This window comes from Homo sapiens, chromosome 6 (assembly GCF_000001405.40).
Source record: "Homo sapiens chromosome 6, GRCh38.p14 Primary Assembly".
Lineage (NCBI taxonomy): Eukaryota > Metazoa > Chordata > Mammalia > Primates > Hominidae > Homo > Homo sapiens.
The window spans coordinates 26,499,920-26,521,500 of NC_000006.12; the positions used below are offsets into that span (position 1 = coordinate 26,499,920).

Genomic DNA, 21,581 nt, shown 5'->3' on the forward strand with positions numbered 1-21,581 from the left:
ACCTGCTTAATCTCACTTAATCCTCCCAACACCTCTTCAAGAAAGGTATGATCAATATTATTACCATTTTAGAGATCAAAGAACTGAGGCTTGGAAAGAGGAAATAACTGGCTGAAGCCATCACATCTCATTTGTGTGTTTCCTTGCCTCTCTTCTCTTTTTCTCTTTTCTGCCTTTCATTTGGTCCAGCTCATCAATGCATATCTTGATTTCTGAGCTGAAGACCACAAATCCAGTTTTCCATCTCTCTGAAAAACTTTTCATCTCCCTTTTTTTTTTCCTCAGAGTGAATATACCAGGCCACCTGGAGGCAGGCTTTCCTGAGAGCACCTCCCGCTTCCTTTTCCTGCTGGCTTTTAACTTTTGCCCCGGGGGCCACAGCCAGCTTTCTCACTTGGTAGCAGTGGCCTCTTGTGCCTTTTTCTCCAAGATCACCCAGGTCAGTATGTGTGGTTACTCTCAGCTCCCTGAGGGAGTGAGCAGCCAGAGGGGCATAGCATACTTCTCTCCCTCCAGCTCCTTTCTCCTTGGTCCTAGGCCCTCTACTCTTCAAGCCCTTTTGCTTGCTTCAGCTCCTGCTTCTTGCTCCATCTCCTCCCATCTTTTCTCTCTTCTCCAATTCATTTCCTTGGACTCCATTTCTGCCTTTATACCCTTATCTTTATTATCATTGCCAAAAGCAAATACCAAATTCTTGTATTTGAAAAAAGACTTTGGCCAGGCACGGTGGCTCACGCCTGTAATCCCAGCACTTTGGGAGGCCAAGGCGGGTGGATCACGAGGTCAGGAGTTCGAGGCCAGCCTGGCCAACGTGGTGAAACTCCGTCTCTACTGAAAATACAAAAAATAGCGGGGCATGGTGGTGCGCGCCTGTAGTCCCAGCTACTCCGGAGGCTGAGGCAGAACAATCGCTTGAACCCAGGAGGCTGAGGTTGCATTGAGCCGAGATCATGCCACTGCACTCCAAGCTGGGCAACAGAGCAAGACTGTCTCAAAAATAAATAAATAAATAAATAAAAAGGAGACTTTTTTTTTAGTGCAGTGATTCCAAGATTTGTTCATCGATATGCAACCAACTAATGAGTGTTATGCCTCACAGTTCCCTTCTCCTAAGTTTTAGAGTTAGAGTAGTGGGTGGGAAGGTGATAACCACAGTGTAAACTAAAAATCCATACTGGGGATGGAGGCTGAGAGGAGGTTTCAGGGGCAAATGACCAGAACACTTGCAGCTGGAAAGAACTGTAGAGAGGACTTTGGAAAGCGGAGGGTTGACAGAGCCGGTAGTTGTCTCCTGTCCATTCATCTCCTAGGCTGAAGCTCCTGAGGGGACTCACATCAGTTATCTTGCTGCTCCAGAAGGGTGGGAGATGGCAGTTTTCCCAAGCTCCGGTCTCCCCAGATGTCTGCTCACCCTCATTCTCCTCCAGCTGCCCAAACTGGATTCAGGTAAGTCTCTCTCTCTCTCTGGGCTGCATAGTTGAAATATATCAATAAATGTAAAATAAACAATCCCACTTGGCTCTCCCTGGAGACCTCCACTGGATCCAGACAAACTCAGCTGTCAAAGGAGTAAGAGAGCGCGGGGCACTGCGCTTTGGCGGGAATCTGGTCGGTGTCTGTCCGTAGTTCCCATCTCCACATCCCGTCTGATCCCGCTCGTTTTTCGGCAGCTCCCTTTGACGTGATTGGACCCCCGGAGCCCATCCTGGCCGTTGTGGGTGAGGACGCCGAGCTGCCCTGTCGCCTGTCTCCGAACGCGAGCGCCGAGCACTTGGAGCTACGCTGGTTCCGAAAGAAGGTTTCGCCGGCCGTGCTGGTGCATAGGGACGGGCGCGAGCAGGAAGCCGAGCAGATGCCCGAGTACCGCGGGCGGGCGACGCTGGTCCAGGACGGCATCGCCAAGGGGCGCGTGGCCTTGAGGATCCGTGGCGTCAGAGTCTCTGACGACGGGGAGTACACGTGCTTTTTCAGGGAGGATGGAAGCTACGAAGAAGCCCTGGTGCATCTGAAGGTGGCTGGTGAGTAGACGGGTTTTGACTTTCTCCGACGACTCCCCTGCTGTATACACTTTCGTATGGATCAGTTACTTTGGAAACCATCAGATTCATTCTCAAAATCTCTTTTAGGTTGATGTCGCCGGGGAGGGACGACTATCTGGGCGGGAGGCGAGGGGGGGTAAAAGAATTTACCAAGACAGTTGTAAAGAAAGGCAGATTTACTTTTAAAAGTATGAAAATACTTTTCGAGGAGGCAAAAGGCAGGATCAGCAAAAGAGAAGCTGACTGCCAGGAAACAAAGGCTTGCTGGATAATTTATAGAATAGTTTTTATGCTGTCTGTTGAAGATGGCTTTGTGCAGTATCTATAAGGCAAAGGTTGCAGTGAGCTAACTTGCAGGTGTTTGGTGATAGTTGGACACAGGAAGGATGACTGTGAGTTATTTGCACAGGAGGGCTGTGTACTGGACCATGAAGAAAGGCAGACTTGCAGCTTATCTGCCTTATCTCTTTGTTTTCCCCTGATTAGGACTCCACAGCTAGAAGGTACTGAAGGTCCTACAGTAGGAAATCAGTGAGAAAGGGTTTTGAGTTGAACATGGAGAGAACAGTGCAATGTCTTTATTGTAGAACTTTATTTCAATTATCTCCAGCCCTTTTTCAATAATAGGGTAAGCATTTCTTCATGAAATAATTAAATACATATAAGAGTTATATAACATTCTTTTATACAAGTACACCATAATTTACTTCATCGAGTCCCTGAATTGTACATTTAAATTGTATTTCTCACCATTACACATCTTATGGCTGTGGTGAGCATACCACACACTTTAAGGCTGGCTTATGGATTAGTTTCTAAAGACTGACATCCTAAGATTAGAGAGCATGGCGGTTTGTCACATTCCTGATTCATATAGAAAAGATTCTGTTCTTGTTCCCTTTTTTGCTTCAAGCCAGAATTCAAAGGGAAACAATAAAGAAAATAATAAGCTTTGAGGAGGAAAGTACGCATTGAGGTCTGACTTTCTCAATTCCTAGTGAATGACATCAAGCAAATCTCTTTCTGATTTTTACTGTAAAACTGAGGATGTTTTTATCTAAGATTATTTTTCAAGAATAAAATAGTCTGGGACCAGTGGCCAACTCCTATAATCTCAGCGCTTTGGGAAGCAGAGGCAGGAGGATCTCTTGAGCCAAGAAATTCAAGGTTACAGTAAGCTGATGGTTGCCACTGCACTCCAGCCTGGACAATAGAGTGTGCTGTCAAAAAAAGAAAAAAAAAAAGTGGGATGTGGTGTCTCACGCCTGTAATCCCAGCATTTTGGGAGGCCAAGGCGGGTGACTCACTTTTGATCAGGATATTCAAGACCAGCCTGGCCAACATGGCAAAACCCCATCTCTACTAAAAATACAAAAAGAAATTAGCTGGGTCATACCTGTAATCCCAGCTACTCAAGGAAAATCGCTTGAACCTGGGAGGCAGAGGTTGCAGTGAGCTGAGACTGCACTACTGCACTCCAGCCTGGGCAACAGAGTGAGACTCGTCTCTAACAAAAAAAAAAAGAATAAAATAAAATTAGACAATATATGAGAAATGACCTCGCCAATTCTAAAAACATTATAGACTTATTAGATACTATACTGTGCCTTAAACTGATCTAAAACATATAATATACAAACATATTGCCTTTCACATATATATCATATATGTATATATTATCTAAATCTATATGCATATATTATATATATATATACATAGATATATATTCAAGTAAATATAAAGTTTGAAAAATACTTGGGTGAAATGTGGGTCCCTGCTTCACAACAGGGTCCCCCAGTTGCAGCATCATGTATAATTCAAATTTTGACATTTTGTTTTTAGGGAAGAAGTATCTTAAAGCTTGATTATAAAAACATAGAAATTTGATGGCATAAAATGTGTTACCTTTTATGAGTGGCAGACACCCTTGAGAATCTGCTGAAAGTGGCAGCTCCTTCCATGAAAAGAATATATATTCTTGTATATACACACATTCTTGGAATGTGGATTTTAACCAGTGGTTGTGGAAATGTGTTTAAGAGCTCTTTTATGCAGCTCAGTGTTTTTCTGTACCATGTGGAATTACAGAAAAAAATAGGCTAAACACACAAGAAAAGCAGCTTTATGTTTATATATAACAGGCCACAATTATGTGAGGGAATATGAAGTTGAGACCATTTAAGAAAATTTCTGAATCAACATCATAGATAAAGAAAGCTTAAATTGTCAACTATAATCTCAAGCCAAAGAATCGCCAATCCTCTCCTCAAGGATATTCCTCTGTTCATCCTTAAATACCCAGTCCTATTTCTCCTCCTCCCCACCAAAGTCTTCTCATAATGCTCTCAGCCTAGACCACTAACCCACCTCTGAGTTATTGGTCTTAGTGTTCCTGCTGGCTGGACAAGCACCCCCAAGTCTGCCCACCAAACTGCTGCAAACATTTCAAAGGCTTGATCCCAACAAGGCATCCTTCTCTGATAAGGTATATGAAATTCCTTTTATTGGTACTTCAATTTCCTTTAAAAAAAAAAAAAAACTTTTTTAGAAACAGCATTTCACTCTGTCACCCAGGCTGGAGTGCAGTGGTGCCATCACAGCTCACTGCAGCCTTGAACTCCTGAACTCAAGCAATCCTCCAACCTCAGCCTCCCAAGTAGCTAGGAATACAGGCAAGAACCACCATGCCCAAAGAGATGGGGTCTCATTGTGTTGCCCAGGCTGGTCTTGATCTCCTGGACTCAAGTAATCCTGCCTCAGCCTCCCAAAGTGCTGACATTACAGACATAAACCACTGTGCCTGGCCCTCAGTTTCCTTGTATATTGAAATATGGAGATGAGTTCTTCCCCCTACTAGTCCACTTGTGCCTTTCTGTCTCTCTCTTTCTCAAACTATGTAGCTCTCTGGTTATAAGGCTCCCAAAAGGGGTCCGCTAAAACATTAAGTCCAGATTCTCTCTCCATAGCTCTGGGCTCTGACCCTCACATCAGTATGCAAGTTCAAGAGAATGGAGAAATCTGTCTGGAGTGCACCTCAGTGGGATGGTACCCAGAGCCCCAGGTGCAGTGGAGAACTTCCAAGGGAGAGAAGTTTCCATCTACATCAGAGTCCAGGAATCCTGATGAAGAAGGTTTGTTCACTGTGGCTGCTTCAGTGATCATCAGAGACACTTCTGCGAAAAATGTGTCCTGCTACATCCAGAATCTCCTTCTTGGCCAGGAGAAGAAAGTAGAAATATCCATACCAGGTTAGTGGAACCAATGCTGCTGGATTCCTATGTTGACACAGCTTCAGAGCCACACCACCTGGGACACCTGCCCAGATGTGACCTCATGGCAGAGTTGTCTACTTTCCCCACCTAAGCTCTTTTCCAGTGACTTAAGGGAACCCCACCAACTTTATTAGAAGAGTTAAGATACTGAAGACATAAACCTACCTTGATCTCAAATAAATTTCAGATTATTTATCTATTTATTTTTTGAGACAGTGTCTCACTCTGTTGCCTAGACTGGAGTGCAGCAGCAGAATGATCTCAGCTCACTGCAAGCTCCGCTTCCCAGGTTCAAGCGATTCTCCTGCCTCAGCCTCCAGAATAGCTGGGACGACAAGTGCACACCACCGTGCCCAACTAATTTTGTGTATTTTTAGCGAAGGCAGGGTTTCACCATGTTCCCCAGGCTGGTCTTGAACTTCTGGCCTCAAGCAATCCACCTGCCTCGGCCTCCCAAAGTGCTGGGATTATAGGTGTGAGCCATCACACCCAGTGAAATTCCAGATTTTCCATTTCAGGAGATCTAAGTGAGATAGAGAAGCTTTGTCCCTGGAGGCCTTCCTGATCCAGAGCCTTCTCTCCTCAAGTAAACAAAAAGACTAAGTTGGCCGGGCGTGGTGGCTCACGCCTGTAATCCCAGCACTTTGTGAGGCCGAGACAGGCAGATCACAAGGTCAGGAGATCGAGACCATACTGGCCAACATGGTGAAACCCCGCCTCTACTAAAAATACAAAAAAATTAGCCAGGCATGGTGGCGGGTGCCTGTAGTCCCAGCTACTTGGGAGGCTGAAGCAGGAGAATGGTGTGAACCCGGGAGGCAGAGCTTGCAGTGAGCTGAGATTGCGCCACTGAACTCCACTCCAGCCTGGGTGACAGAGCGAGACTGCATCTCAAAAAAAAAAAAAAAGACTAAGTTATTTTTCTACTTTTGCCATTTCCACCCATACTCACTTCTCCTTCCTATCCCATGCTAGGGCTCTGTCTAGGTTTCCAGGGTCCTCAGGGAAGAAAATCCTCTCATTATTCCCCAGATACTGTCTCTGGTTCAGGCAGAAACCTTTCCTTATTCTTTGGTCAATGAGTCCCATTCTGTTACATACAGAGGCACACTTCCCCTTCCTTATTTACCTCCTTCATCCTCTTGGCTCCCATTCTGCACTGATAGTTAAGGAAGAATTTCCATAATGACATGAATTGGTCCATTATATTTATTATTTCACAGGTCCTGTCCCAAAATTACTCGTCATTTCTCTCTTTCTCTGCTGACTCCTGCTTGAAGTCAATTTTTTTCTGAAAAGTTTAGAGTGGCATTGGAGTGACTATTTTTTTGCTATATGAGGGATGAGAGTGGTCCAGGCCATCACCTCTTCTACCCTCCTTTGGAATGTGGAGAAAAGCTGGACTTGCTCAGAATTTCTCAACTAATGTCCTTCTTGGGGATTTTGTTTTAGCTTCCTCCCTCCCAAGGCTGACTCCCTGGATAGTGGCTGTGGCTGTCATCCTGATGGTTCTAGGACTTCTCACCATTGGGTCCATATTTTTCACTTGGAGACTATACAACGAAAGACCCAGAGAGAGGAGGAATGAATTCAGCTCTAAAGGTAAACCATAGAATCCACAAGGGCTACGTGTCAGGAGTGCTTCAGAGGCAGGCTGGATCCAAGTCCTTTAGAATGACTTATTTTAGGATGACAGGAAGATATTTGAGGCTGGGCATGGTGGCTCACGCCTGTAATCCCAGCGGTTTGGGAAGCCGAGGTAGGTGGATCATCTGAGGTCAGGAGTTCGAGATCAGCCCGGCCAACATGGCAAAACTCCATCTCGACTAAAAATACAAAAATTAGCCAGGCTTATTGGTGAGTGCCTGTAATCCCAGCTACTCGGGAGGCTGAGGCAGGAGAATTGCTTGAACCCAGGAGGTGGAGGTTGCAGTAAGCCGAGATCGTGCCATTGCACTCTAGCCTGAGCGACAGAATAAGACTCCGTCTCAAAAAAAGTAGAAGATACTTGATTCTAGAATTCTGAAAATTGGAGGAAATCATAAGGGTCCTGAAGTCACAGATGCCAATATGAAGAAGCACAGAGGATTGGGGCATAGGCAGAGTCTAATCAAGATATCAGGGCTGATGTTTACTCACTACCCACCCTCAGACCCTACTCCCACTTTTAACTCAATTGCCCAGTACCAATCTTATTATTAAAGATCTGAGGCCGGGCGCAGTGGCTCATGCCCGTAGTAATCTTAGCACTTTGGGAGGCCGAGATGGGTGGAACACATGAGGCCAGGAGTTCAAGACCAGACTGGACAACATGGTGAAACCCCGTCTCTAATGAAAATACAAAATTTAGCCAGGGTCGTGGCCCACACCTGTAGTCCCATCTACTCGGGAGGCTGAGGCGGGAGAATGGCTTGAACCTGGGAGATGGAGGTTACAGTGAGCAGAGATTGCACCACTGCACTCCAGACTGGGCAACAGAATGAGATTCTATAAAAAAAAAATCTGATCCCAAGCCAGTTCCAATATGTAGGAACTTCCTGCATCTTTCTTCGAAAACAAAGCAAAACAAAATCCTTGTTCTTGATTTATTGGCAATGCTTCAATATTCAAATAGTCATGAATTAAACAGTTCCTCCTTTGTGTGTTTCCCACACGAGTTTTGTCCCCTCCTTTACGTCCACTATAGAAAGCCATTGAGGTATTTTTGTTTGTTTTCCAGAGAGACTCCTGGAAGAACTCAGTAAGTTCTGTCTTCTTGTTATTTCACCCACAGAGTTTTCTCTCTCTTATTATATAACCTGTCAATGACTATCTTTCTCTTTTGTTGCAGAATGGAAAAAGGCTACCTTGCATGCAGGTCAGTGGCTCTGAACTTCTCTAGGGCTCTGAGGCTCTATCCCCTAGGAATTCAAAGTGCTATGATACTTGGAAATGAAAACACTAACACTTTAGTGATGAGGACAGGAAGGGAAACGGTGATGACAGATGGCCTCAACAGTTTCTGTGAGGCACATAGAGAACCCTTGGAAGATGGCACTTCCGACAGAGTCCCATTAGGCCCTAGGCACAGTTAGCTCTTACATCACCCTCTGGCTGCTGGTAAGGGGGGATCCTGTGGTGAATGGAGACCCCTGAGCAGGCCAAACATCCCCCCACCTCCAGAAGACCTGTCAACTCCTACAACAGTGTTCTGTTTCTTAGGAGAAGGAAAGACAGTCCTGCAACCTGTAATATTCACTGATGTCAGACCTGCTGTTTCTTTCTCTCCAGTTGATGTGACTCTGGACCCAGACACAGCTCATCCCCACCTCTTTCTTTATGAGGATTCAAAATCTGTTCGACTGGAAGATTCACGTCAGAAACTGCCTGAGAAAACAGAGAGATTTGACTCCTGGCCCTGTGTGTTGGGCCGTGAGACCTTCACCTCAGGAAGGCATTACTGGGAGGTGGAGGTGGGAGACAGGACTGACTGGGCAATCGGCGTGTGTAGGGAGAATGTGATGAAGAAAGGATTTGACCCCATGACTCCTGAGAATGGGTTCTGGGCTGTAGAGTTGTATGGAAATGGGTACTGGGCCCTCACTCCTCTCCGGACCCCTCTCCCATTGGCAGGGCCCCCACGCCGGGTTGGGATTTTCCTAGACTATGAATCAGGAGACATCTCCTTCTACAACATGAATGATGGATCTGATATCTATACTTTCTCCAATGTCACTTTCTCTGGCCCCCTCCGGCCCTTCTTTTGCCTATGGTCTAGCGGTAAAAAGCCCCTGACCATCTGCCCAATTGCTGATGGGCCTGAGAGGGTCACAGTCATTGCTAATGCCCAGGACCTTTCTAAGGAGATCCCATTGTCCCCCATGGGGGAGGACTCTGCCCCTAGGGATGCAGACACTCTCCATTCTAAGCTAATCCCTACCCAACCCAGCCAAGGGGCACCTTAAGGAATATCTCAGCTCATCTGTTTTCCTTTCCTCTAACCCCTCTCCTCCATAGCCTTCTGAGGCTTCACCTGCTAGCTTTACCCAGTCTGTTTCTTCCTGTTGGGTGGCAATTAATTAATCCTGTGAAGGTTACATTGCTGCTGCTAGAGAGGGTGGGGATTGCACCTTCCAAATCTGTTTCTGTACCAATATTTGGGGGATGGAGGGGTGACTCAAACTGCTTCTAGTGTTCTCCTAATCCCTTAAGACTAGAACCTATAGGAAACTACTTGGAGCAAACTCAAAGGACAGATTAGGGATCGAGATTGGGTCAGGTTAGCATGGGGTTGTGGTTGAAATATCTTGGTATCCAGGATAAGGGTATGTGGAAAAACAGGCTTTAGGCAAGTGGAAAATTCAAAATGTGCTGTGAAAGGACAATCTCAGGCTGAAATCCCATAAAGGAACTTGGAGGGAATATTATGATGGAGGGAAGTGAGGTGAATCCAGGCACATGATGAACACCTGGCTCATCCATAGAGTTTTCACAGCCTATATCGCAAATTTTCTAAGCCACGTCCTATAGGACAGAGGAGACTGGCCCCACTTCTATGGGTCTGAGCTGTGGAAAAGGGAGAGCAGAGAGGAACTGAGATGAGCAGGGATGAAGGGTCAGGCAGAAAGCGTGATAGAGGAGAGAATTTTTGACAAAACTCAAAAGTTGTTTGCACAGCTGTTCTTTGTACCCTGTTCCTTTCTCTGCGCCCTCCTGTTTCTCCCTTGCCTGGAAGTCATTCCACCCTCAATTTGTTGATCCACAAGTTTCCAGTTGTCCTCTTCTTTTTGTTATAGCATCTCTCTATTTCAAAGACATTCCTAGAAGTCATCCTTCAGTGATATCACCACTTGCTCAGTCACCATCTCAACCTTATGTCACCTCAGCCCTCATCTCAATGCCCAAACCCCTTACACACACCTTCAGTTAGCTTCAACTGCCTCCGTTTCCACACTGTGCACCTTTCACTTTCCCTACCCAGCTTTCCTACATGCTGCCTCTCCTCAGGGTCCCCTGAATGCTGCATCATTGTGTTCAGTGCAGCTGGACTGATTGCACCTGTGTATTTGCCCCTGAGCACTTTCCTTTACACATGTGGCTTGTCTTGCCAATAGACTCCAGGCTTATACCTTCCATTTCCATCGTATTCTCCAGTTTCCAGGATAGACGTTGCTCATCGTCTTTACCTAATAAATAAGTTTGTCTGATTGCTGAAAGCAACCTCTTAACCTTTCTTTTTTAATATCAACTGAAACAAAATAAAACATAGGGCAAGAAACCTGCATGGGAATGCAGCTGTCTAAAGCTTTGCCATTGTATGTGGTCTAAGACCCATCCCTAGGCCTGATGGCAGTGGGCTCACCAGGGCAGGTGCACATGGGGGCTGATGCCTCATGAGGGAACAACTGCTTACCAGGGTCTTCAAGCAGGAATACAGAATCTCAACTCAGGAACAATTTTTTATTAGTCCATCCTCATATTTCTGTAAAGAAATACCTGAGACTGGGTAATTTATAAAGATAAGAAGTTTAGGCCGGGCACGGTGGCTCATGCCTGTAATCCCAGCACTTTGGAAGGCCGAGGCGGGTGGATCACGAGGTCAGGAGTTTGAAACCAGCCTGACAAACATGGTGAAACCCCGTCTCTACTAAAAACACAAAAATTAGCCGGGTGTGGTGGCAGGCACCCGTAATCCCAGCTGCTCAGAAGGCTGAGGCAGGAGAATCACTTGAACCCGGGAGGCAGAGGTTGCAGTGAGCTGAGATCGCGCCACTGCACTCCAGCCTGGGTGACAGAGCAAGACTCCATTTAAAAAAAAAAAAAAAAAAAAGATAAGAAGTTTAATTGGCTCATAGTTATGTAGGCATGACAGCTTCTGCTCAGCTTCTGGGGAGGCCTCAGAAAATTTACAATCATGGCAGAAGGCGAAGGGGAAGCAGGCACATCTTACATGGCCATGGCAGAAGGAAGACAGCAGCAGGGACGGGGGAGGAGAGAGGGGGGAGCGGGGGATGTGCTACACACTCTTAAACAATCAGATGTCATAATTAGTCACTCATTCACTATCACAAAAATAGCATTGGCCGGGCATGGTGGCTCACGCCTGTAATCCCAGCACTTTAGAAGGCCGAGGCAGGCAGATCACCTGAGGTCAGGAGTTCAAGACCAGCCTAACATGGTGAAACCCCGTCTCTACTAAAAATACCAAAAAAATTAGCCGGGCTTGGTGGCACATGCCTGTAGTCCCAGCTACTTGGGAGGCTGAGGCAGGAGAATCGGTTGAACCTGGGAGGCAGAGGTTGCAGTGAGCCGAGATCATGCCACTCACTTCACTCCAGCCTAGGCGACAGAGAGAGACTCTGTCTCCCAAAAAAATAGCACTGAGGGGATGGTGCTAAACCACTCATGAGAAACCGCCCCCATGATCTAATTACCTCCCAACAGGCTGCACCTCCAACATTAGGGATTACAATTGAACATGGGATTTGGGTGGGGACTCAGATCCAAACTATATCAAATAATATCCAAAGATCACCCACCCCATTTTTTTTCTTTTAATTACAAGGCCTTAACATTAAAGATTTCCCAAATATTTCCTCCTCTTGCAAAAGTACTGTTAAAGAGTTGGCTTCACTTACCTATACCATTGACCAGGTTACCTTTACAGTAGTAGAAATGAAGTTCACCACCCAAACAGGGGCAGAGGGTAGGTAGCCATTGGCACTCTGGCCTTTTGGATAGCTGAACACACGGAGGTTTCTGGAGGGCAGTGTGTGCACAGAGAAAGCTTCGGAGCTGCATGCCCCTTCCCACACATCTTGCCCTGTACATATTTTCCATCTGTCTTTTCATCTGTATACTTTGTAATATCCTTTATAATAAATCAGTAAACATGTATTTGCAGGATAGGTTGGATAAAATCAAGAGTAAAGTCTATTGAAGGAAGGAGGAGGCTTAGTAGCATCAGTCCCCGGATTTAAAAGGGATGTTTGAACGAAACTGGGATTCCGAGAAGAGGAAAGAGAAGACTAAAAAAAGGAGCTAAAAGAAATTGCTCGATCTATTTATAATACATTATGATGTATTATGAAAGTAAATACCACTCTAATACTTTCAGAATACATTATAATCCTCCCTGCACTTACTTGCTTAAATCCAGCATCTATTTCTGCAATATTAAAATCCTCCAAAGCATTCTATTTCTTTTAGGGGCAAGTAGGCAGTGGAGAAGCTGTGAGCCTGCATTGCATTCTAGTGTGGGCCACAGAGAAGAGGACTCTCAAGTTGAAGAATGGATGGTATCAGCCAGAAAGAGGAAAATGGGCTTGTTTCTGGAGCTGAGGGGAGAGAAAAGGGGGTCAAATGGGAATTCGCTTGGGGTTATACATTACATTCAAGTGTGTATTTAGATACAAGCCTTTACCTCAACACCTTCCTTACCCCCATTCTGAATAGATCTCATGCCAAAGTAAAAATAAAACCAATTCATAATCATTCTATTAAAAATAATAAATATTTAAGAACCTCAGGCAGTTGCTTTACTGATTTAATGTGGAATGTATATCTTAAAATGTATCTCTAAACCTCACCCAGAATAGATGGACTGCCACAGAAATCCCCCTCTGAGAGTAGGGAAAAAGAACAGTCACAGATTATAATCAGCTCTATGACTCCTCTTTCCTTTTTCCCCATGACCTTCCAGGAAAATGGTCACTGGGCACAGTAGTGAGCTTGTGGTAGATTCTTAGGAGATACAATGTCCTTCCTTTTTCCCTCCAGCTCCAGCCCCACACACCCCTTAGAAAGAATTTATGTGGGCCAGGCGCGGTGGCTCATGCCTATAATCCCAGCACTTTGGGGAGGCCAAGGCGGGCAGATTGCTTGAGGCCAGGAGTTCTGAGACCAGCCTGGTCAACATGGCAAAACCCTGTCTATACTAAAAATATAAAAATTAGCCAGGCGTGGTGGCACACGTCTGTAGTCCCATCTATTCGGGAGGCTGAGGTTGGGGGATGGCTTGAGCCTGGGAGGTAGAGGTCGCAGTGAGCCAACATCATGCCACTGCACTCCAGCCTGGGCGACAGAACCAGACACTGCCTCAAAAATAAATAAATAAATAAATAAATAAATAAATAAAATAATTTATGTGATAGAGCTAAGAACCTGCCTTTGGCTCCCTGTCCTGGTGGCACCAGCTATAAGAATTGTGCCCCAGAGATAAGGAAATTATCAGTCTCAGTATGTCTGGCCTTATTTCCAAATCTCCTAAAAGACAAGAAATGTTGCATTGCCAATGCTTTACCAAAGCCTGTCTGAGTTACCCAGGCAAAGTAGGTGACACTATGAGTTCAAAAGCACTGAAACTAACTGAAGTATTTGTTAATGTCTGTTTTTATTTTTAATCTAGAAACAAATACCTTTCCACCCTACAACTAAAAATCATACTAAAAATGCACTTACCCCTAAAATAATAATAGCTGACTTCATTTCACACTGCCAAATGCCAGCTCTGGTAGTCACATGTTTCTGGGAGCCTGCCTCTATTTAACAGAGACTATGAGGTAACTAAGCCCAGACATTCAGATTGTGAGAAAAATAACTGAACAACTTCCCTCTTCCCTAATCAATAGCAGCTCTTCCATGCCATTCCTCCACACATCTTGAGTCATGTCTCTTCTGCCTCCAGACAGCACTCATATTTCCTCAAATCCCCCTCTTGCAATAGTCCCTGACAGCCCACTCCCAAATACATACACATTTACTCTTGCGCTCATTGTATTATTTTAAAATGGAAATAACTTATTTTCCTAAAAATACATGAAAGTATATTTTACAAAGTAAAAATGGTCCCAAATCTCATCACTCAAATATGACCAATGCCAATATTTGGGTTTATCCTTTCATTTAAAATACATATATATATATGTATGCACACACACACACACATATATATACACACACATATATAATATATGTGCACATATATATATTATATATATATATAAAATATATATATGTGGTGCCAACAGCTTCCAAGAAAAGGTCAGATGAGCAACAATCATCCATCATAGAAGACTGGCTGACCATGGAGGAGAGCACTGCATAGGGATTCCATGCATACTTTAAAGCATTGCTACTCATGCTGATTCTGGACTGTCTTGTTAGAACCACAGAACTTTAGATCCCACTGAGAACTCCTGAATCAGAAACTGCATTTAACAACATGGTGATTCATGTGCACTTTAATGTTTGAGAACAGACTAGATGTATGCTTCAAAATATTACGCATCTACTTGGGATTAAAGATCTTAGTTGAAGTAACAAGAGTCTTTCCAGAGGAATATCTCGCTGGGTGCGGTGGCTCATGCCTGTAATCCCAGCACTTTGGGAGGCTGAGACGGTGGATCACCTCAGGTCAGGAGTTTGAGACCAGCCTGGCCAACATGGCAAAACCCCGTCTCTACTAAAAATACAAAAATTAGCCGAGTGTGGTGGCCCACGCCTGTGGCGCCAGCTACTCGGGAGGCTGAGGTAGGAGAATTGCTTGAACCCGGGAGGCAGCGGTAGCAGTAGCCAAGATTGCACCATTGCACTCCAGCCTGGGTGACAGAGCGAGACTCCATCTCAAGAAAAAAAAAAGAAAGAACAAGAAATATCTCCAAATTTTGATCATCGTGCAAAATGCATTTACGTAGCAACTGAATATGCATACTCATAGTATTAACAGTAACAAAGTACTTATTATGCGTCAGGTCCTGTATTTTGTGTGCTGTAATTCCTGCCATTTTTCAGACCCCTAGGAGGTAGGTAGGCATCAGTGCAGTCTCCATTTTACAAATAAAGACTCTGAAGAGCAGAGAGATAAAATGGCTTCTATCACCCGCTAGAGAGTAAGCAGAGATGAGATTTGACTCCAGGCCATCTGACTCCACGGTCCATGCTGTTGGTTAGGTACAAAGTACATTGTCCAGAAAATGACTTTCAAACATTCCTATAAGCTGAGCAAATCTTGTGTTAGTTTACAAAGCAGTATACAACTTAGAACAAGTAGGAGGTAAGAAAGTTAACATAACATCAAGCTACTGCCACAGAAAGACCTTGTACTGGACTGTACAAGAATTTGGCCTCATGTTCTTCCAAGAGAGAGAGGTGAAGGCAGCCACCAGTTCCATTCAAACAGCAAAATAGCAGTGGAAGATAATCAAGTGCCAGGACAGTGGCTTTGGATTGTAATAACCACAGTGAGACACTGTTACATTGTTGCAGTTGTTGAATTGTAGTTCTGGCTGACTAGTTTATTGTTGTTTAAAGCCTTTTAATCCTTTCAAGAGCCTGCTGAAGACTTAATTTTTCTCTCCGTCTGCAGCATTAACTCTCACCTATCGGCTCACTACTCCTGAATCGATGACTCTGGCCCCAACATGGTTTCCAGAATGGCCTTACTTATTCTACTCCTGAACATCTTCTCTGTGACAAATAATAGGTACCTCAAATTTAAGGGGACCAAAGTACAACTCTAGATTCCCTCTGACCAATTTACACCTTACTTAATCTTTTCCACTCCATTAATGACTCTGTGATCCATTTTCTCGAGCCAAAAATATAGGCATAAGCACTAATTCCTCTTTTTATCTCATTTTCCACCTCCAAACGCCTAGTAAGTCCTGTCAGCTCTGCCTTCAAAACATATCCTGGACATGAGCACTTCTTTCCTTCTTTACCACTAGCTCCCTAAGCCATCATCACTTCTTACCTGGATTTTTTATATAGCACCTGCTTCTACCCTTGCCTCTATGGTCAGCTACCCACAAAGACCAGAGTATTGTTTTGCTTGGTTTGGTTTGGTTTGGTTTGGTTTCGTCTGGTCTGGTCTGGTTTGGTTTGGTTTGGTTTGGTTTTGAAATAGAGTCTCACAGCCAGGCGTGGTGGCTTACACCTGAAATCCCAGCACTTTGGGAGGCCAAGGCAGGTGGATCATGAGGTCAAGAGATTGAGACCATCCTGCCCAATATGGTGAAACCACATCTCTACAAAAAATACAAAAATTAGCTGGGCATGGTGGTGTGCGCCTGTAGTCCCAGCTACTCTGAAGGCTGAGGCAGGAGAATCGCTTGAACCAGGGAGGCAGAGGTTGGAGTGAGCCGAGATCATGCCACTGCACTCCAGCCTGGCGACAGAGCAAGAGTCCGTCTCAAAAAAAAAAAAAAAAAAAGAATGAAAAAGAAAAAGAAAGAAAGAAATAGAGTCTCACTCTGTCGCCCAGGCTGGCTAATTTTTTTTTTTTTTTTTTTTTTAGAGACAGGATCTCCCTATGTTGCCCAGGATGGTCTCGAACTCCTGAGCTCAAGCGATCTGCCCTCCTCAGCCTTCCAAAGTGCTGGGATTACAGGCATGAGCCACTGTGCCCCGCCCAGAGTATTGTTTTCAAAGACAAATCAGATTATGTTATCAAAATTCTCCAATGGCTTCCCAATGCAGCCTCAGGATTAAACTCAGGCCCTACTAACACCATCTGGTCCTTGGCTATCTTTGCAATTTCATCTCTTTCGTTCCCTTATTCCTCCTCTTCAGACACAGAAGCCTTTTGTTCCTCCTTCATTCTCTCCCCAAGTTCTTTGCCCTTGCCGTGCCCTCTGTGTGTCCCCTGGATATGTTTGTCTCGCCCCCCATTTCATTCAGGTTTCTGGTCAAATGATGTCTCTAACCACCCTCTGTAAAAAAGCACCCCCCCCCCCCCCACACACACACACACACTTTTCTACTTTCTGACTCATCACCCTGCACTACTTTTCTTTTGGGAAAACTCCTGCACAATTACTATTTTTCTTGAAAGTACTTATTAATACTTGAAACTATAAGCATATTTGTTTTTTTAATAGTCTTTCTTCATCACAGAGGCAAGAATCCACAAAAGCAGAGATTTCCTTTGTTTGTAAATAAAGTACCTGGCACATATTAGTTGCTCAATAAATATCAACCGACAGATTAAGTTATGAGTGTGCGCAAAGTTCAAGGAAGTTTGAAACTGACCTGGAGGTCAGGGAAAGTATGGTTAAACTACATGAAAGAGATGGCTGCTGGCTGTTTTTCAAACACACGTGTGGACAGACCAAACCCTACCTCCCAAGTAGGCTTTTATTGACTCAGCCTCTTTGGGAGTCAGAAAGTAATGTATTTTAATGTTGGACATACTTAAACTAAAAAGTCATTCATTGTTTAGCTGAAATTCTAATTTAACTATGCATCCTGTATTTCATCTTATTTGAGAGCCCTGAGCCCTTATACCCTCTGGCTGAGTAAACCCCACGCTTCATCAGAAAACAGCTTACCTCAAGAAATTTGTATGAACACCCACTCTCTATCCTCTTCTTATCTTTCACCTGATTTTCAATTTTGTGTCTTACAACTTAGTTTTTCAATTCTTAATTTTGTTTCTTCTCACTATTCTTTAAGATTACTGTGGTAGATGGTTGTACAAATACACCCAATAAACCTTTCCTCCCTGGGCCCCACTCTTGCAGTACCCTCTCCCTACACTGCCTTTAGTTTGGGCCCTGTGACTTGCTTTGGCCAATGTGAGGCAAGCAGAAGTTGGATAAGAACATGGCACTGGGGCAAGACCTCGGGGAACTGCTTTCCCATCACGTCTAGCCTCCTTGGGAATGAAAGACTTTATGAAGAGAGAGGCTTAGCATCTTGGCTGAATGGTGGGCATAAATGAGCCTAGGCAAAGCCAGCCGGAGCGGGGGGTGGGGAGGTGGGGGGTAGGGGGGTGGGGAGGTGGGGGGTAGGGGAGTGGGGGGTGCGGGGTTGCGGGGAGTCGGGGGAAGTTTCGTTCTTGTTGCCCAGGCTGGAGTGCAATGGCAGTCTCGGCTCACTGCAACCTCCACCTTCCAGGATGAAGCGATTCTCCTGCCTCAGCCTCCCGAGTAGCTGGGATTACAGGTATGCATCACCACGCCTGGCTATTTTTGTATTTTTAGTAGAGATGGGGTTGAAACCCCCCATGTTGGCCAGGCTAGTCTTGAACTCCTGACCTCAGGTGATCCACCCGCCTTGGCCTCCCAAAGTGCTGGGATTACAGGCGTGAAGCCACCACGTCTGGCCTTCGTTTTGCTTTCTATATTTTTAACCATTTATTTATTTGAGATGGAATTTTGCTCTTGTTGCCCAGGCTGGAGTGCAATGGCACGATCTCGGCTCACTGCAACCTCCGCCTCCTGGATTCAAGCGATTCTCCTACCTCAGCCTTCCAAGTAGCTGGGATTACAAGCGTGTGCCACCACGCCTGGCTAATTTTTTTTTTTTTTTTAATTTTTAGTTGAGATGGGTTTACACCATGCTGGCTAGGCTGGTCTCGAACTCTTGACTTCACGTGATCCACCCGCCTCGGCCTCCCAAAATGGTGGGATTACAGGTGTGAGCCACTGCACCTGGCCATTTTCAACCTTTTATAAAACTATCTAGCCAGGGCAACATAATAACAAAACAATAAAAAACAGCCAGGCCAGCTGGTGTGTGCCTGTAGTCCTAGCTACTGTAATCCTTGCTCCTGTACTCCTCCTGGGAGTTCGAGGCTACAGTGAGCCAGGATCATGCTGCTACTCTCTAGCGCGGGCAACAGAGCCAGATCCCGTCTCAAAAAATACATACATGTATTGTTTCTAAATTGGGCTTTTCCTCCCCCACTTCTCTTTCTTTAGAGGGCAATTCTATTTTTCACTGGGGAACTAAGCTGGGATTTCTCATGAGGCCTAGAGACTGGAGTTAAAATAACTACTTTATTAGAGGTCTCAGCTTCTCTCCATTTTATTATTTTTTTTAATTTTTTATTCTTTTTTTAAAAAAATAGAATGCTCCCGTCGGGCTCAGTGGCTCACGCCTGTCATACCAGCACTTTGGGAGACTGAGATGAGTGGATCGCCTGAGGTCAGGAGTTCGAGACCAGCCTGGCCAACACAGTGAGACCCCCGTCTCTACTAAAAATACAAAAATTAGCCGGGCATGGTGGCGGGCGCCTGTAATCCCAGCTCCTAGGGAGGCTGAGGCAGGAGAATCGCTTAAACCCGGGAGGAGGAGGTTGCAGTGAGCCGAGATCGCGCCATTGCACTCCAGCCTGGACAACGAGAGCGAGACTTCGTCTCAAAAAGGAATGCTTCACAAATTTGCCTGTCATCCTTGTGCAAAGGCCATGCTAATCTTCTCTGCATTGCTCCAATTTTAGTGTAAGTGCTTGCCGAAGGGAGCACAGCTCTGTCCATTTTATTTCATGTTTCTTGGGCTCACTGCCCCATTATAGTGTAAGCCCTTCGATGGTGGAGCTTATTCTGTCTGTTTGTTTACTGTTGGATCACCAGCACCTAGAATGCTGCCTGGCACATAGTAGGTACCCAATAAATATTTCCTATATGTTGGATGAATTGCCTCTCTCCTCATCTCCAAAGTTGGTATCCACCACTACCCTGTGAAAAGAGCAGAGGTGACTGAATTTTAGAGGCCTTGCAGAGGACTTATTAAACACTTACTGTGGGACTCTATCCTCATAACTTTTTAATTTACTTATTTGTATTTTTAAAATCAACAAATAAAGATATATATATTTATGATGTACAAAATGATGTTTTGTTCTATGTGTACATTGTGGGAAGGCTAAATCAAGCTAATTAACATATCCATTACATCACATACTTATCTTTTTCTTTTTGTGGCAAGAACATTTAAAATCCACTCTCTTAGCAATTTTCAAGTATTCAATAACGTTGTTATTAACTATAGTCACCATGTTGGACATAGCAAAACTTCTGAATCGGTAGGCCTGAGAAGAACAGAATTTGCCTCTAATTGATTCCCTGGAGATGGGGATTTAATGCTTAATTTAAGGGATTAAACATTGTATTCTATCAATTGAACTCACGATGAAAGTATTATAGGTGTCTAAGAAAGCTGTTTCTAATGTCCACAGAAGCAAAATGACTTATCTAAGATTCTCCAGGTAGTGACCAGTTCTAGTTCTGTCTGAAATTCGTACTCAGGTCCCCTGACTTCCAGTCAGTGATATTCCGACCATGGCATCCTGACTGCTAACCCTTGCTAACAAAATTTGAAGTAGGTCACCTCTGACCTTTGTTTATGTTTAGAAAAGTTGTTGTGCTCAAGGCCTTCTATCAAGTACCCGCTGCGCCAGGTTTAGTAAAATACATAAGCTACTCCCCATTTTTGTTGTTGCTGTTTTTGCTTTTGCTTTTTAAAGTTTTTATTACAGTATAACATCCACACCGAAAAGTGCGCAAATCCTCCATAAACTCCGACAGAGAGGCAAGACAAGCCAGGCTTCCCACGCTCCTGTCCCCTCCACCGGCCCTGCCAAGGGTAACCACGTGCTGGGAGATTTGCAGCACAACGCAAAGGAGAAGGATTAGCGAGCACCTTGTTCCAGCAAAAACTGGAGCAAGCCTAAAACTTCCTGGGAATTAAGTGTAAATTTAAGCCAGGTATTCTAGTAATGTTGAGTTCAACAGGATTGCCATTATTTTAACTAGAATTCAGTTGAGAGCAGAGCGCCATCGCCGTCTTCCGCCTTAGTCACTCGGCCCTGGGCTGGCTCACGCCCGCCCCGCCCCCTCCCCGCCCCTCCCACGCCCGCCCCGCCCCTCCCACGCCCCCGCCCCCGTCCCGCTCCCCCTACCCCGACCCGCCCTCCCTCGCCCGCCGCCCCACCCGCCGCAGCCCTCCCCGCGCAGCCTGGGAGTGACTCGGCGTTCACTCGGGAGACGCCGCTCTGTGGCCCGGACAACCGGTCCTATGCAGCGCCGTCCGAGGCAGTTCGCGGAGAGGCGGCTTACCTTTTAACCCAGGAATGCCCATATCTTGAGAAAAAGAACAACAAGGGGGTGGGCGGGGGTGGGGACATGGGGTAGGGGGGCGGCTGGTGGATGGGGAACTAATAGCGTTTAGACAAGAGACAGAAGTGAGTCCTGAGCACAATGTAGCATAAGCGCGTCAGGATGGCCGAGCGGTCTAAGGCGCTGCGTTCAGGTCGCAGTCTCCCCTGGAGGCGTGGGTTCGAATCCCACTCCTGACAGTTCGTACTTTTAGTATTTAGACACAAATCGAGTTTAAGTTTACGCTACGTTTTCCTACCTGCTCTTTGTGACATGGTCTTCTCTCTTTTTAAAAAATAAATTTTCCGAGTTCCGGAATAAAAGCACTCTTTGTTTTTATTAGCCACTCCAAGGACAGCAAAAAGTACTCTGTACTCCGAAAATAATTTCAGAACCTACCGGTGTTTTGA

General features: G+C 45.1%; 1 protein-coding gene, 1 long non-coding RNA gene, 1 other non-coding gene and 1 pseudogene across 3 annotated transcripts in view, besides 2 other annotated features; 2 read left to right on the plus strand and 2 right to left on the minus strand.

The window, feature by feature from the left end:
* Positions 1-21,581, minus strand: part of LOC107986583 (uncharacterized) — a 40,750-nt gene that overhangs the window by 13,271 nt on the left and 5,898 nt on the right. The window lies entirely within an intron of this gene.
* On the plus strand, positions 384-10,506 carry BTN1A1 (butyrophilin subfamily 1 member A1). Its single transcript, NM_001732.3, has 8 exons — positions 384-439; positions 1,311-1,446; positions 1,671-2,018; positions 5,006-5,287; positions 6,764-6,913; positions 8,031-8,051; positions 8,142-8,168; positions 8,582-10,506. The coding sequence occupies exons 2-8, from the start codon at positions 1,368-1,370 to the stop codon at positions 9,253-9,255; spliced, it is 1,581 nt and encodes a 526-aa protein (NP_001723.2). The 5' UTR covers positions 384-439; positions 1,311-1,367; the 3' UTR covers positions 9,256-10,506.
* Positions 1,673-1,802: an enhancer, noted in NCBI's record as "active region_24245". NCBI's record gives its function as "activates an Ori minimal core promoter by ATAC-STARR-seq in GM12878 lymphoblastoid cells {active_cell/tissue: GM12878}" and the evidence as "EXISTENCE:reporter gene assay evidence [ECO:0000049][PMID:35858748]".
* Positions 19,432-19,539, minus strand: RNU6-502P (RNA, U6 small nuclear 502, pseudogene; annotated as a pseudogene).
* Positions 20,893-21,492: a silencer, noted in NCBI's record as "silent region_17010". NCBI's record gives its function as "represses an Ori minimal core promoter by ATAC-STARR-seq in GM12878 lymphoblastoid cells {active_cell/tissue: GM12878}" and the evidence as "EXISTENCE:reporter gene assay evidence [ECO:0000049][PMID:35858748]".
* On the plus strand, positions 21,289-21,371 carry TRL-CAG1-7 (tRNA-Leu (anticodon CAG) 1-7). The gene has a single exon. It is a non-coding gene; the product is annotated as a tRNA-Leu (tRNA).